Here is a 16,769-nt window from a genome sequence, read left to right on the forward strand (position 1 = left end):
ATTTTTCGTTTCTAGAAGCTATTAAGATTTTCTATTTCTATCAGAGATCTGAAATTTTATTAGGATATGCCCTTTTGGAGGCCTATTTTCATTCATTCAGCCAGGTACTCAGTGAGCCCTTTTAATCTGAAAATTCATCTTCTTTAGTGCAGGAAAATTTTATAAATGATTTTTTGAATTTTTTTTCTTTTTATTTTCTTGGTTCTCTCCTTCTGTTATTTGGATGTTGAACCTCCCAGACTAATTTTCTAATATTCATGTCCTTTGTCTCCTATGTTTGTTTTTTCTTAGTGTCTTTACTTGCAGGGAGATCTGACCTTTCTATTGAGTTCTTCATTTCTATCATTATTTTGTCTCTCAGCAGTACTTTCTTGTTCCCTGAATATTCTTTTGTTTTTGTTTAGACCATCTGTTCTTCTTTCATGGATGTAGTTCTTCTCTTATATGTTAGAAACATTTTTTCAAATTTTATGTCCCTAAAGAGTCTTATTTTCTGTTTGTTTTACCCTCCATCTTTCCTGTTAAGGGCTTTCCTCAGAAGTCTAGTGGTCCTTGGCTGTCACCTTATAGTTAAGGAAGTAAAAATGTGGATACCTCGATAACATGTAATTGGGGCTTAATGACTATGAATTTCCTAGATCTGACTGCTGTTTTATCCAGGAACCTAATATTGTTTTATTGAATATCTTTCTTTTGGGCCTGTTAGATTCACCAAAGAAGAATCTTCTTCCACTTTCCTACCTAGAGACTATAAGATGGGCTGCTAGCATTGTGTGAACCAAGTAAAAGAGGACTTAGAGTCTCAATATTCAGCAAATAAAATTTCATTCAGTTTTCCTCTTTTCAGTAGAGTACCCTTCAAAATTCCCCAGTTCAAGGCTGGGCACGGTGGCTCACACCTATAATCCCAGCACTTTGGGAGGCCGAGGCAGGTGGATCACTTGAGGTCAAGAGTTCAAGATCAGCCCAGCCAACATGGTGAAACCCTGTCTCTGCTGAAAAAAAAAAAATAAATAAATACAAAAATTAGCCAGGTAAGGTGGCATGTGTCTTTGGTCCCAGCTACTTGGGAGGCTGAGGTGGGAGGATCACTTGAGCCCAGGAGGTGGAGGTTGCAGTGAGCTGAGATCACACCACTGCACTCCAGCCTGGACAACAGAGCAAGACCCCATCTCAAAAACAAAAAAATTCCCCAGTTCAAGAACCTCCTATTTTATTCACACCAAAGAATGAACTTTTAGTCTTCTGCTAGAATGAGAGAGGGAAAAGTACTTGGCCAGTTGTGAATGGTGGCAGTTAATTAGAAAGTATATAATTCTTTTTAGTTTCTTCTTTTTTTTGTTTATTTATTTATTTACTTTTGCCACCTATTCTTTTATTCCTCTAAAGAAAGTATCTAATTCTTAAATAAATTTCTAACCAAGTTTGTTCATAGTCTCATCTTTATCTCACTTCCGTAAGCACTGGCTGTCACCAATTCCTAAGTCTTTTGGAAATTGTAGTACAAAATTGCTGCCTAGCTTATCATTACCAACTGCTGGTTTAGAAACCAGCTTGCTTGGGTCTGCTAAGTCAGTTAGCAATAGTCCTGCTTTCTAGCTTCCAAACTGTGGTTACTGTCACTCATCTCTCATTCTCCTTTTTCTTATTTGTTTTGTTTTTTTTTTAAGAGACAAGGTCTCATTCTGTCACTGGGCTGTAGTGCAGTGGTGCTAACATAGCTCATTACAACCTGGAACTCTTGGGCTCAAGTGATCCTCCTGCCTTAGTCCCCCAAGCAGTTGAGACTACATGTGTGCGCCACTAAGCCTGACTCCTTTTTTTAATATTTTATAGAGGCAAGGTCTTGCTATGTTGCCCAGGCTGACCTCAAGCTCCTGGTCTCAAGTGATCCCCTTGCCTTGATTTGCCAAAGCACTAGGATTACAGACATTACCATTGTGCCCAGCCTTGTTTTTGCTTTTTAATAAAATACTTAAGATAAAATTATATTTTAGTTTGGTTTTGGAAAGGGATAGAGTTAAGTGCATATGTTCAATCTACCATCTTTATGAATAATAGATACTGTTGATTTTTCTTATCTGTTGTGAAGTTTCTTCTTTTTAACATTTGTTGGATTTGAGGCAAATATCTTTTGAAATGCCAATATCTATGTGGAGAAAGTGGGAAATTGTATATCCAACCCTTGTACTCAGTCTCAGGGTAAGACTTGAGGAGATTTCTGTTTATGTATCCTATATTTTATATTTAAATGCTTATATATTTAAATGCTTGCTTCACTGCATGTAAGGGTGTTTATTACTCAGTAAACCCAGGAACAATAACTAGTAGTCATATATTATTTAATATATGTAGAGCTTAATCTCTTTTAGTTAGGACATATGATAAGATGATCAAATATTCCAAGTCAAAAGCTAGGCAACTGACCGGGTGCAGTAGCTCATGCCTGTAATCCTAGCACTTTGATAGGCCAAGGCAGGCAGATCACTTGAGCTCAGGAGTTCAAGACAAGCCTGGGCAACAAAGTGAGACCCCCATCTCTACAAAAATTATCCAGGTGTGGTGGCACATGCCTGTAGTCCCAGCTACTCAGGAGGCTTAGGTGAGAGGGTGGCTTGAGCCTGGGAGGCAGAGATTGCAGTGAGCCGAGATCCCACCGCCACACTCCAGCCTAGGCAACAGAGCAAGACCCTGTCTCAGAACATTAATTAATTAATTTTAAAAGCTAGGCAACATAGTTTAAACTTTAAGGAAAGGCTGAGCATGGGGCTCACACCTGTAATCCTAGCACTTTAGGAGGCGGAGGCAGGAGGATGGCTTGAACCCAGGAGTATGAGACCAGCTTGGGCAACATAGCGAGCCCTCTTCTCTACCAAAAATAAACACAATTAGCTGAGTGTGGTGGCTCTCACCTGTGGTCATGGCTACTCAGGAGCCTGAAGTGGGAGGATCACTTGAGCCCAGAGGTCAAAGTTGCAGTGAGCCATGATCGCACCACTGCTCTCCAGGCTAGGTGACAGAGTGAGACCCTGTCTTAAAGAATAATAATAATAATAAAATAATAATAAATAAATAAACTTTAGAGAAAGAAGATAGGTCCACCCACCATGAGCCAGACAATTTGCTTTGTATATTTTATTGTCTTACATAATACATGTATGAAATGATTTTTGACTTCTATATTTTATGGATGAAGACTCAAAGATTCAAATAAGTTATTTCCCCAAATTCATACAGCTAGTGCATGACAAAAGTCGAATTCAAATTCAAGATTCATTTATTTCAAAGTTAATGCTCTTTGGAACTGAGTCTGTGTAAGATAAGATGGCATGTGTGGTTTCCACATATGGGACTGCAATAAAGGTCCCAAAACTTGGAGAAAAGTCAAAGAAAGGTCACTATCAGAAATTGCAATCAGAAAATCCACCATTCTATTTTCTCACACCTATGTCATTGAATCCTTCTAACACCCCTAAGAGCTGGCTATGTAAGTTTAAGTTTTGTAGTTATTGATCTTAAATCTGTAAAACATTGTTTGCCTATATCAAAAAATTGATTGATCTCAGTGTCTTTTCCTGGTACCCCCACCAATAACATTTCCACAGATAAATTTGAAGTTACTTGGTCATTTCTGAATTAAAATTAATTTCAGTTTTAAACTAAGATTCTACCCCTATCTCCTATTTGTATCCCTTCTACTCTTCTTTTCTTTCTTTTCTTTTGAGACAGGATATGGCTCTGTTGCCCACACAGGAGTACAAAGGCTCAATTCTGGCTCGCTGCAACCTCCACCTCCTGGGCTCAAACCATCCTTCCATGTCAGCCTCCCTTGTAGCTGGGACTACCAGCATGCACCACCACACGCGGCAAATTTTTGTATTTTTGGTAGAGATGGGGTTTTGCCATGTCACCTAGGCTTGTGTGGAACTCCTGGACTCAAGCAGTTCTCCCACCTCAGCCTTCCAAAGTGCTGGGATTACAGACATGAGCCACCATACCTGGCCTCTTCTTCCCTTTCACTCTTCCTCAAGTTCCTGAGGGAGACTGACATATCCTGAGGCATCGTCAACACTTATGGGTTTGCATATTCTTTTCTGTTCTTGCTGGCCTCTGTTGAGTAACTGCTTGGCCCTTGGCCTTTTGGTACCATGTGCCAGCATCTACTTATGTCAGTTCCGCTTGCTTGGCCTCTGGACTTCATATACTGGATCCACTGCCATGGTCCTTGCTGTAATTTCCAATTGTGAGAACCATGTATTCCTTACCCTTCAAACCCCAGTCTCCTTTATGTCTTCCAGCTTAGTCTTAGCCACTTTTGCACCCCTCGCATGATGGAAGCTTCAATAACTTTTCACATGCTCTGCCACAATACAATGGAATGTTTAGGATTCAAAAATGTCTTCAGACAAATCTTCCCAACTACCTTTCTTAGCCTTTGTCTTTGGTACCCAGTGCTCAGTTACCTTAATCACAGCCCCTCCAAACTCTTTCCTGCCTAGTAGCCCGTACCTTATTTATTTGCATGAGAAAACATCTATTATATTCTCTTGCATTCTTGTGTACTCTATGTTTTTAGTGGTACTCTAGGTTTTTAGTGGTATGTTTTTACATAAAGAATATGGCCATATTCTTTATATAAAAGAAAATGGTTATATCCTCTTGCATTCTTGTCTACTTTATGGTTTTTATCATGTAAGCTTTATACAATGATGCTCTTAAAATAATAAGGCAGCTTTATATGTCCTGATATGATCAGTTGACAAAACATCTTACACGAAGAAAGCAAGGTATAGAACAGTATGCATAACCTGCTTCATTTGTGGAAATTTATGTGTAGCATGGCAATGCATTGAACATCTCTGGAAGGATGTATGAAAGTGGTAATGGGGGTTGCCTCTGGGGAATGAAGAGACAGATGGCTGAGGGACAAGACTGAGAGAGATTTTTTACTCCCTTTTTATATCTTTAAAATTCTATGTCATGTGAATAACCTATTAAAAAAAATAGATACCAGATAATTATAAAGCATTTGTAATTTGGCTTCTTCACTCTTGCTAATGTCCAGATCTCCTATTCTCAGACACAGATAAAAAGTAGCTTTATTGGCAAAGGTATCTTTTTTTCCTTCACTGCTTCCTGACCTTCCACTCTTTCTTGTAGGACTTTACTGAAGGCTGCATAAAGCAGCCAACCTGCTCCAACAGTCTGAATTTTTCCCTTCAATTAGAAGGGAAATACTTCAGTAGGCAGATGGTCTGAGTCCTGAAATGTAGCAGATGATAGTTTAGTTATTTTGCTAACTTGCCAGACTGAGATAGAGGGGTCCTCACTACCCTTCACCTGACCCTCTTGGCCAAGCCAAGTCTACATTTTACTTACAAGAATTTTTCAGGTTCTGTTACTTACAAGAATTTTTACCTGCAGGGTTATTACACTGAATAGATATTTAATATTATTATAAATGTATGAGTGAATAATTTTTCTAAAGGAATAAATTACCTGAGATAGTTTTAAATGTGTTTTTGATAGAGATTCTTTAAATCAATATTTAAAATTTCCCAGTTGTCCATTAATTATAGCTATCTTTTTCCTCCTGATCTGAGGTCCAGTCAAGGTTCATACATTGTATTTAGTGGTTATATTTGCTTAATCTCCTTTAATCTAAAAAAAAAAATTCCCAGCCTTATGTGTCTGTCATGTTGTTGACATTTTTTAACTCATTCAAAAACATTTATTGGCCACCTATGAAATGGCAGGCATGGTGTCAGGTTCTAGGTATTTGTACATAATAATCAGTAAAATGTTATAAATACTACAATAAAGACCGTATAAAGTGCAGAAGGAGCACAAAAGAGGAAGATACCTGTCCTCTCTCAAAGATTCAGGAAAGACATGTCAGTGGGGAAATGACATTTCAGCTAACTTGAAAGATAAGCAGACAAAAAAGGGAAAGCAGAGATCATCATATGAGCAAAATATGTGTATTACTTTTTATGTTTTTGCAAAGCACACAGTTTAGAGATCTGAGTCACCTCTGAGGATATTACCATGAGACATGAGTCAGGAGAAACACACAGGAACAGGCCTTTGTATGCTGGGCCAATGAATCTGGACTTCATCCTGTGTTTGAGAATTCAAAAGCTTTAAGGGACAGGCAGAAAACAAACACAAACATATGATGTGAAATGATAGACCTGTGGCAAACTGAATTGTATGAGTTCTGCCTAAAGACATTCAAATTTGGGCTGACCAAACCTTGCCAATGGGCTGGATTCCGTAGACAGGACCCAGTGAGGACTTTTGAGCAGGCACTCGTGACAACGTGGAGAGAAGCTAAAGTTGGGGATGATGGGGACAGGAGACAGATCACAGGTTGGATATAGACACCACAGTGTGAAGGAGGACAGATGCCTCGTGCCTATCAGGTCTCTGTGATGACTGTGTTAAAATCTCAAGCTCATTCTTGGCACCGGACATACATAGCATTCTGAAGGCAGAGGTGCTTCCATCCCCTTTTCTGCCATGTCTTCCTCTGGATGAAACACATTCCTCACTACCATCTCAATACATGATCTAAAAAAATCTTGTTTTTTTCACAAAAAGGATATGGTAGGCTGTTCTTCCCCTTTCCCAGCTTTCTTTCACCCACATGGGCCAAAGTGAGTGGCCCTCAAGTCTCCAAAGTGAGTGGCCTCCCTTTGCCCTCAAGTCCTTCAAGTTTCTCACCCAGGAATTTTCATCATCTCTGACTATGTTTTCCACATTTCTTCTCAAAGTATCATTTATTTCTGTATAAATAAGCAAGAAAATGGAGCAGAGTTTGATGAATCTCAATGAACTCATCTCTCATTTTCACATGAGCTTCAGAACACATCATGCCTCCAGATTAACAACAGTACAACACACAGTCAACACTGGCCCCTGAGCAGAAGGCCATCCAAGCACTGTACTTTCTCCCTCACCCCTAAGAGCAGGGACAAATATCCTAGTACCTGCCAACACCTAAAAGTCTTTCTTTCGTTCCTACAAATGACGATCACCATTTTGGTCACATACTCTATACAAAAAATAAATAAATAAATAAATTTATTGTCTATCCTCAATAAAAATATATTTTAAAGGTACTAGTGTTAATCTATATAAACATTACTAAAGCTTTTTTATTTTTATAGAAAACAGGTAAGTACTGATATTTCCTCCCCACATCAGCAGATTGTCTTGTGCATAACTATACCTGCTGTGTAATTCCCAGAGGCTGTATAATTTCCAGGGTTCAGATTTTTTTCTCCTTCCCTTTTTTCTCTGTATCAGTTCTTCTACTCACCAACATCTCAACACTGATTTGGGTCCCTCTCTCCCTTCAGAATCCTTTATTTCCTGGCTGTTTATTCTCAGCAACTCCTTCCATTCTGCCTAAAAACTCTTTAAAATCCTTCACAAACTAACAAACTTTAGTCCTTAGGACAAGCCAGGGTTCTCAAGTGAAATTTCAAATCTCTATGAGGCTTCCCAATACCTTCATGCCAGAAGGTAAACAAATTACTTGTCTATTCCCATCAAATTCTAGCCTTTGGACTCTAATCTCATTGACATTTTTGATTGCCCTGGGCCAGTTGTTTGCAAGATATCACTTTAGTTTGAATATTTCTGAAATTTTTTATTGTTAAATTTAGGCTAAATATTCTTTGCAAAAACATTACATTGGTGATGGTATGCCTTCTCAAGGTATGATATCATGTAAAAGGAAATTTTTAACACAGTAGACTACTATGGCTTGATGGGAGGTCTAATTTGAGTTTTTAATTCTCCATGTTTTAATTTTACAGTAATGAAGTAATTTCTTAGCGGTTTGGTACTCAAGATAGACTTGATATCGATATGTAGTGTTTTATCCAATTCATTGGCTATCATTTTGGAACAACAAAAAAATTTCCCTTTTAAGTTGATAAGTTTCTAATGATTGAGGGAGTTGATAAAATCAAGTTTCTGCCTTTTGAAGCTAAAAGCCAGGTGGCAATAATATATACCTCATAGGATTGAAGTGAGGATTATTTGAGATGTTAACAGACAAAATATAACTGTGAGTAATATGCTCCATGAAGGGGCTCTATTAATATAATTAACCCCACTCAGATATTTATTTTAAACCACACATACACACACACACACACACACACACACACACACACACACATAGCATTTATTATTGAAACTGATACTTTAAGTGCTTTGTGAATGTTAATCCTTATAACACCTCTATTAGTTAGATACTGTTATTGTTGTCATTTACAGATAGGAAGCTGTGGCCCAGAGAAGATAAGTAACTTTCCTAAGGTCTAAGCAAGTGAGTGGTAATATTTCCTGCTATTTTTCTGTGAGACCCCACTTGAAAGTAAGTGGCCTGTATAGCTACAATCTGTGTTTGAGGATGATTTTCATTCAGCTTCTCCTCCTAGATAGTTGCTTTCCCCTGTCATCCTCCTCCCACCCCAATACTGTTTTGCCAGATAATGATGGGTGTTTATTGAATGGCAGTACCACAATCCATATAGGTGTGTGATACTGTGTGTGTTTTGTATGTGTGTGCATACATCAGGCTGCTTAAATGAGTTGTTTTTCTTACTTCTTTGTTGCTTTCTCCATTTTAATGTAAGTTTTTTTTTTTCTTGTTCTCTTTTTGAGATTTTTAAGCATTAGAATTAGGCCGACCCAGATTTAAGCTGAATGTTTCTAAGACAGTGTTCTCATCTACAAAATGGTAATACTAACACCTATATCATGAGATTAAGTGAGGATTAAATTAGGTGATATTGCCAATTATAAAGGCTATATAGAGATATTTTGTATATATTTTATACTACATTTAGTTGAGTTGTTGGGGATTTTTTGGTATTTTTTGGTATTTTCCATTTTAACTTAAAAGGTTTGGAGTTTATTTTTGTTTTTAGTGGTGACGGTGATAAGACTGGCAAACTTCTTTTAATTGGGCTATAATAGAAAGAGTAGGTTTGAAGTTAGACTATTTAATATTAAATCCCAAAGCCTCAATTACCACATTTTAAAGTGGGAATGTTAATGACTGTCTTGTATCATTATAGTGATCACCATTATATCTCCAGTGCTTCCCGCAGTACCTGGCACAGAGCAATAAATATTGTTGAATAAATATCAAATAAAAAGATGTTGAGAGAATTAAATGAGATATAAAGGATCTAGCATTGTGTCTGGGTAGATAGTAGATATACAAAATTATACTACTATTTTTATCAATAATTTTTAATTTATTAAATATGTTTCTTCTGATTATATTATTAAACATATGAAAATAAAGTATAGAACATTTGCTTTAATTATTTCTGGTAGTTAATCATAGTATTTCTGAAGGATGAAGATACTAATACCTTGATTCTCTCTAGTTCTTTGGCAAAGACTTATTGATGTTTGGAAGTGAAAAAATGCCAACAATACTGTTAATGATTTTGAAAACAAGCCTTTAAATAAATGTGCGGACTCATGTTATTTCTGTTCCAGAGAGAAGAGGTACTCCCTTATAGGGACTCGTAAAGACATAGAGCATCTGGAAATTAACTGCCTCCATTACACTGCTGAGTCACACACAACGCTTGTTATGTTTTCATCACTTCTCTCCAGAAGGTAGGCATCATGGTTTCTCTTCATAGATTCTTCATACAATTATAGTTTTTGTCTGCAGACTTAGTTTTTATTAAATATGGGAAGTGTCTGACATCTATAGATTGAAATGCTGTATTTCTCCAAAGTTAGGATGCTTAAACACGTTGCCTCTAAAAATTATTTCTATTGGAAAATGAATACATGTTTACTATTTTTTAAAAAAAAGAATGTAATACAGAAAAATATAGTTATCCTACCACCTTCAGGTAACTATTCTTCATATTTTGTTATATCTTCCTGAATTTATTTTTATATATGTGTATTATGTATAATATGTGGATTTATATAGTTACAATAATTATGACTAGACACCATAGGGCTTAAATGGTGTTTCCCTGCTCTGCTTCTTTTACTTAGTGGTTTATTTCAGCCTTTTTAAAAAAAATTTATTTTTTTCTCCTCAACTTTTATTTTAGATTCAGGGGGTACATGTGCAGATTTGTTAACTGGGTATACTGCATGATGCTGAAGTTTGTGGTATAAATGATCTCCTCATGCAGGTACTGAGCATAGTGCCTAGCAGTCAGTTTTTCAACTCTTGCTCCCCCTTCCACCCTTTCCCCTCTAGTAGTCCCTGTTGTCTATTGTTGCTATCTTTATGGCCATGAGTACCTGATGTTTAGCTCCCACTTATGTGTGAGAACATGCGATATTTGGTTTTCTGTTCCTGTGTTAATTATCTTAGGATAATGGCCTCCAGCTACATCATGTTGCTGCAGAGAACATGAGTTCATTCCTTTTTTATGGCTGCATGATATTCCATGGTGTATATGTACCACATTTTCTTTATCCAGTCCACCACTGATGGGCACCTACGTAGATTATGGAATCTTTACTATGAAGAATAGTGCTTAATATTGTGAATGCATGTGTCTTTTTGGGAGAACAATTTGTTTGCTTTTGGATATGTACCAAGTAATGTGATTACTGGGTTGAATGGTAATTCTGTTTTAAGTTCTTTAAGAAATCTCCAAACTGCTTTCCACAGTGGCTGAACTAATTTACATTCCCGCCAACAGTATGTAAGCGTTCCCTTTTCTCCACAGCCTCACCAACATCTGTTGTTTTTTGACTTTTTAATAATAGCCATTCTGACTGGTATGAGAAGGTATCTAATTATGGTTTTGATTTGCATTTCTCTGATGATTAGTGATAATAAGCACTTTTTCTTATGTTTGTTGGCCTCTTGTATATCTTCTTTTGAAAAGTGTCTGTTCATGTCTTTTGCCCAATTTTTAATGGGGCTGTTGGTTTTTTGCTTGTTCAATTGTTTAAGTTCCTTATAGATTCTGGATATAAGACAATTGTTGGTTGCATAGTTTGCAAATATTTTCACCCATTCTGTGGATTGTCTATTTACTCTGTTGATAATTTCTGTGGATTGTCTGTTTACTTTGTTGATAATTTCTTTCGCTGTGCAGAAGCTATTTAGTTTAATTAGGTCCCAATTGCCAATTTTTGTTTTTGTTGCAATTGCTTTTGAGAACTTAGTCATAAATTCTTTCCTAAGGCCCATGTCCAGAACGGTGTTTACTGGGTTTTCTTCTACCATTCTTATAGTTTGAGTTCTTACATTGAAATCTTTAATCCATTTTTAGTTAATTTTTGTATATAGTGAAAGGTAGTGGTCCAATTTCATTCTTCTGCACTGCATGTGGCTACCAAGCTATTCCATCACCATGTATTGAATAGGGAGTCCTTTCCCCATTGCTTAATTTTGTCAACTTTGTCAAAGATTAGATGGCTGTAGGTGTGTGACTTTATTTCTGGGTTCTTTATTCTGTTCCATTGATCTATGCATCTGTTTTTATACCAGTACCATGCTCTTTTAGTTACAGAAGCATTATAGTATAGTTTGAAGTTGGGTAATGTAATGCTTTCAGATTTGTTCTTTTTGCTTTGGATTTGCGTTGTCTCTTCAGGCTCTTTTTTGGTTCCATATGAATTTTAGAACAGTTTTTTTCCAATTCTGTGAAAAATGACATTGGTAGTTTGATAGCAATAGCGTTTAATCTGTAGATTGCTTTGGGCAGTATGGCCCTTTTAAAAATATCGATTCTTCCAATCCATGAGCATGTAATGTTTTTTCATTTGTTTGTGTCGTCTGTGATTCCTAGCAGTGTTTTGTAGTTCTCCTTGTAGACAGACATCTTTCACCTCCTTAGTTAGATGTATTCCCAGGTTTGTGAATGTGTGTGTGACTATTGTAAATGGGATTATGTTCTTCATTTGGCTTTCAGCTTGAACATTATTGGTGTACAGAAATGCTACTGCTTTTTGTATACTGAAACTTTGCTGAAGTCATTTATCACTTCCAGGAGCCTTTTGGTGGAGTCTTTAGTGTTTTCAAGGTATAGAATCATATCATCCTATTGCAGCAATTTTTATGCCAGTAAATATCATCCACCTTAAATTCCAATTAAAGGTTATAACATGAATCATGTAACCACCTTCCTTTTATTAAATATATGGAAACATGACTTAAGTGATATGTATTCATATCTGATGATTTTTTAAGAGAATCTCTAAAAGTAAGTGTTATAGAACTTTAGCACCTAAACATTTTCTCTGATGGAAGGGTTCCATGACATATAACCTAAGGAAAGACTTATTCACCATCTTAGAGATATATGTCCTAGTGTATAGTATTACCGTATACCAAGGTTGTAGAAATCAAACTTATTTAACCATGGAATGCATTCTTAAGATAACGTATGTCTTCAAGATGTTGATAATGGGGGAGGCAGTTTGGAGTTGTATTAGTGAGGGTTCTTTTAGAGGGACAGAACTAATAGGATATATATATGTGTGTGTGTGTGTATATACGTATATATGTATATATACACACACACATATATATACCCACACATACACATGCGCATATATATTTGTTTCTATTGTCTATGATTCCTAGCAGTGTTTTGGGTATATATACACACACATATATATATATATGTATATACACATATACATATACACATATACACATATACATATACACATATACACATATACATATACATATATACACATATACATATACATATATACACATATACATATGTATATACACATACACATATACATATGTATATACACATACATATACATATGTATATACACATACATATACATATGTATATACACATACATATGTATATACACATATACACATACATATGTATATACACGTATACACATACATATGTATATACACGTATACACATACATATGTATATACACGTATACACATACATATGTATATACACGTATACATATACATATGTATATACATATATAAATGTATGTGTGTGTATATATGTATTATATATATTATATATATATGGAAGTTTATTAAGCATTAACTTACAGGATCACAAGGTCCCACAGTAGGCTGTCTGCAAGCTGAGGAGCAAGGAGAGCCAGTATGAGTCTCAAAACTGAAGAACTTGGAGTCCAATGTTCGAGGGCAGGAAGCATCCAGCACAGGAGAAAGATGTAGGCTGGAGGCTAGGCCTGTCTCTCCTTTTCACATTTATCTGCCTGCTTTACATTTGCTGGAAGCTGATTAGATTTTGCCCATTCAGATTAAGGGTGGACGTGCCTTCCCCAGCCCACTGACTCAAATGTTAATCTCTTTTGGCAGCACCCACACAGACACACCCAGGATTAATAATTTGTATCCTTCAATCCAGTCAAGTTGATACTCAGTATTAACCATCACAGGAAGCAAGGGGTATATGGGAGTCTCTGTACTTTCCACTCCATTTTGCTATGAAACTAAAACTGCTCTGAAAAATAAACTCTATTTGAAAAGAAGAAGAAGAAGAAGAAGAGGAAGAGGAAGAGGAAGAAGAAATGGAAAAACTTTAAAAGGGAAATTTTTTAAATGACATTTTATAAATTTACATTTAAAATTAAGTTTAGACTTACACAAACACAAATAACATCTGTCAATATCCCACTACACACTTTGAAAATGCTAGATTATGATATATTCTTAAAAATGGAATCGGTAGATCAAATAGTAAATAAATTGAAAGATTATACCAGTTTACATTTCTACCAACAGTGTTTGAAAGAATGAGAATGTCACTTTCTCTATAGTTTTGTCAACATTTGACATTAACTTTATTTTTTACAAAACCTGATACAATAAAAGTATATGGCATTTTAATTTTCATTTGTGTGATTACTACTGAGCATGAGTATCTTTTTATATTTTTATTTGAATTTTAAGTTCTTTTATGAATGTCCCATTCATGAGCCATGCCAAATTTTTCTTGTGGAGGGGTCTTTGAATTTTATGTAGACTGATAAGAATCATAATCATATTAAGAATATTAAATCTATAAATCATATATATCACAATTATGTCTTCTTTTTTATTTTTAATGTTTTGTGTGCTTTATTTTTGTTATATAATGCTATCATTTTTATGAGCTTAAATCTATCATCTTTTTCATGGCTTTTGGGTTTTGATGTTTCTTTGTACCTTGGCTTTATTTTAAAAAAAAACTATTATAGAAAGTCAGAAACAGAGGAGTTGACAGGATAATAAAATGAACCCCAATGTACCTCAAATCTGGCTTCATTAATTGAGAATTCATGGCCAATCTTGTTTCATTTATACCCCCTGTATTATTCTGAAGCAAATCCCAGGCATTATATGATTTTCTCTGTTACTATTTCAGTGTATATACTAACTTTAGATGGAATTTTGCCTAACCCATGTTTTACATCTGCCATAGTTTGGCTGAAATCACTGACTTCCACTACAATATACTTATGTTATATCAAACATCAGCATTAAGCCTGGGCAACATAGACCCTGTCTCTGAAAAGAAAAATTAACTGGGCATGGTGATGTGTGCCTATAATTCTAGCTATTCAGAGGCTGAAGCGGGCGAATGGCTTGAGCCAAGGAGTTTTGAGGCTATAGTGAGCCATGACTGCACCATTGCACTCCAGTCTGGGCAACAGAGTGAGATCTTGTCTTTAAAAAAGAAAATCAGCATTAGCTAAGATTATTGTTATTTAATTTACTATTTTAAAATGGCCTCTATAAGAATTTAATTATTTTAATATGGCATGCCTCACCAGCCTCCCTTATGCCATCCTCTCCTACACTCCCTGCTCTAGCCTTTTAATTCCCTGAGCAAGTAAGCCCCTAGAAACTTCTCTATATGCTATTCTCTCTATCCAAAATGTTCTTGCCCCAAACTTCCCCACCTCCAGTGCCGACTTATCCAAAAGGCACAGTAAGCGCAGTGCCTAGGGTTCACAAAATTTTAAGGGGTCCACAAAAATGTTTAAATTTATTTTAAAATAAGAAAACAAAGGACTTCTAGGTAAAAGAAAACATTTCAGTATACAGTATTAACTAACATATTCATCTTTTTACCATGTAAGTTGCAAAATATGATTTTTAGTTTTATTTTTTATGCTGAAAGGGGCCCATGATGGCAGAAGTACCTAGGGCCCATAAAAATGATAATGCAGCTCTTGCCTACCCTACCCCCCAATGCCACTTTTACTAGTAGAATCCTACTCATCCCTCAGGTTTCAATGAAAATGCCCCTTCTTCAGGGAAGCTTTGTCTGATTCTTCCAGATTATGTGAAATCCCCTGAAATATGCAAGCCCATCACCTTGTACGATGGAAATAAAATAAGTAATTGTATAATGCTGTGTTTAAAGAAATCAGGAACTGAGCCTACCTTGTTTAACACTATATCCCCAGCACAAAGCACAATGCCTTGTATGCAGTGATATTAGACCCTGAAGGACTGATCATCTTTCACTGTGACTCTCTTATGCCCTTGTATCCAGTGGTTGTTCCTCCCCATACCTTTTTGCACACAACTTTAGCCCGTACCTGTTCCTCTCCTTCCCTCTTGATAAAATCTAGATTGCCCAAACAGTGGGTACAAATCAGCAAGGACAATTCCTCCCTCTTGCAAGAACTATCCCTGGTTAACTCTTCCTCAAACTAGTCAGACTTTGGCTGATCCTCCTATACATTTCAACTCACTTTAAATTAGAATACACCTTTGAAGCCTTCTCATATTCAGTATTTTCAAATAAAGGTTTATATGCCCTGGCTAATTTTGTTCCACAGTGGCCATTCAATGAAGTCACACCGAATAAATTGCTGCTACATAAATTATAGGCTTGGTGTCTTGGAATAATTAAGAAATTTTTTGAGAGTAGTCTTGCAAATCTAAACATACTAAGTAATAGCTAACATGACAGTGAGAAATAATCCTAATAAGAATTTCAGTGTAAGTAGATTCAATTGTTTTTATTTGTGTTAACAGAAGGGGTTGCTGGTGTAGACATTCCAACATTGTGAGAAATATCCACATGGCTCTGTTGTGGGTTTTTTGTTCTTGCATTCGAACTTGGATTTTACGTTTTGGGGAGACTTTAGAAGTCACCAGAAAGTTGTCCAGTTTTCCTATCTTGCTCACAGTTCAGAACTGGTTTGCTTTCAATGTACATAACAGCCCCTGGAATAATGTTTGACAAATAGTAGGGCTTCAATAATTATTTGCTGAATTAACAGAACTAATACCATTTCGAACTAGTCAGGCTCAACTAGAAACAGGAGGAAGGAAGGGTAGCTTAAAAAACATCCAAGCCCTATATTTTTGCTTTGATTTATTTTATTATATTTAATTTATTCTAAAAATGAAATAGAAATCATGAGATTTTATGTTTTATCAAGGAAAATAGAAGAATAGATTTCAAAGGGTAAAAAAAAGGTCTCAGTAGTTAAAAAGCGCTACGCTAAATTCTAGGTTTCTGTAAGTGGGGTACATTTTAGTCCAATTTTCTGATCCTAGATTTACCAATGCTATTTAATCTCATTGAGTCTCTTATTGACTCAGTTTCCCATTTGTAAAATGGGGATAATGGCTAATGATGGAGTTATGAATTAATATATGAGTCAGAATAGTGTTGGTATACAGTAAGCCCTATTTAAAGCCTATTCTCCTTCATATCATCAGATTGTTACTACTGCACTTATATTTTTATTATTATCATCATCATTACTCTGTAAATTGAGTGAGA

General features: G+C 36.0%; 1 protein-coding gene across 30 annotated transcripts in view; it reads left to right on the forward strand.

Moving 5' to 3' along the window:
- MBD5 (methyl-CpG binding domain protein 5) overlaps window positions 1-16,769 on the forward strand; it is a 496,045-nt gene that overhangs the window by 311,756 nt on the left and 167,520 nt on the right. For 28 of the 30 annotated variants that reach the window (XM_047445056.1, XM_011511472.3, XM_047445068.1 and 25 more), the window contains one exon: window positions 9,532-9,654. The gene's annotated coding sequence lies outside the window, so the exon portion shown is untranslated. Of the gene's footprint in view, window positions 1-1,870; window positions 8,345-9,531; window positions 9,655-16,769 lie in introns of those variants that run through there. The other 2 variants (XM_047445080.1, XM_047445093.1) reach the window with 1 other exon arrangement.

This window comes from Homo sapiens, chromosome 2, assembly GCF_000001405.40.
Source record: "Homo sapiens chromosome 2, GRCh38.p14 Primary Assembly".
Taxonomy (NCBI): domain Eukaryota; kingdom Metazoa; phylum Chordata; class Mammalia; order Primates; family Hominidae; genus Homo; species Homo sapiens.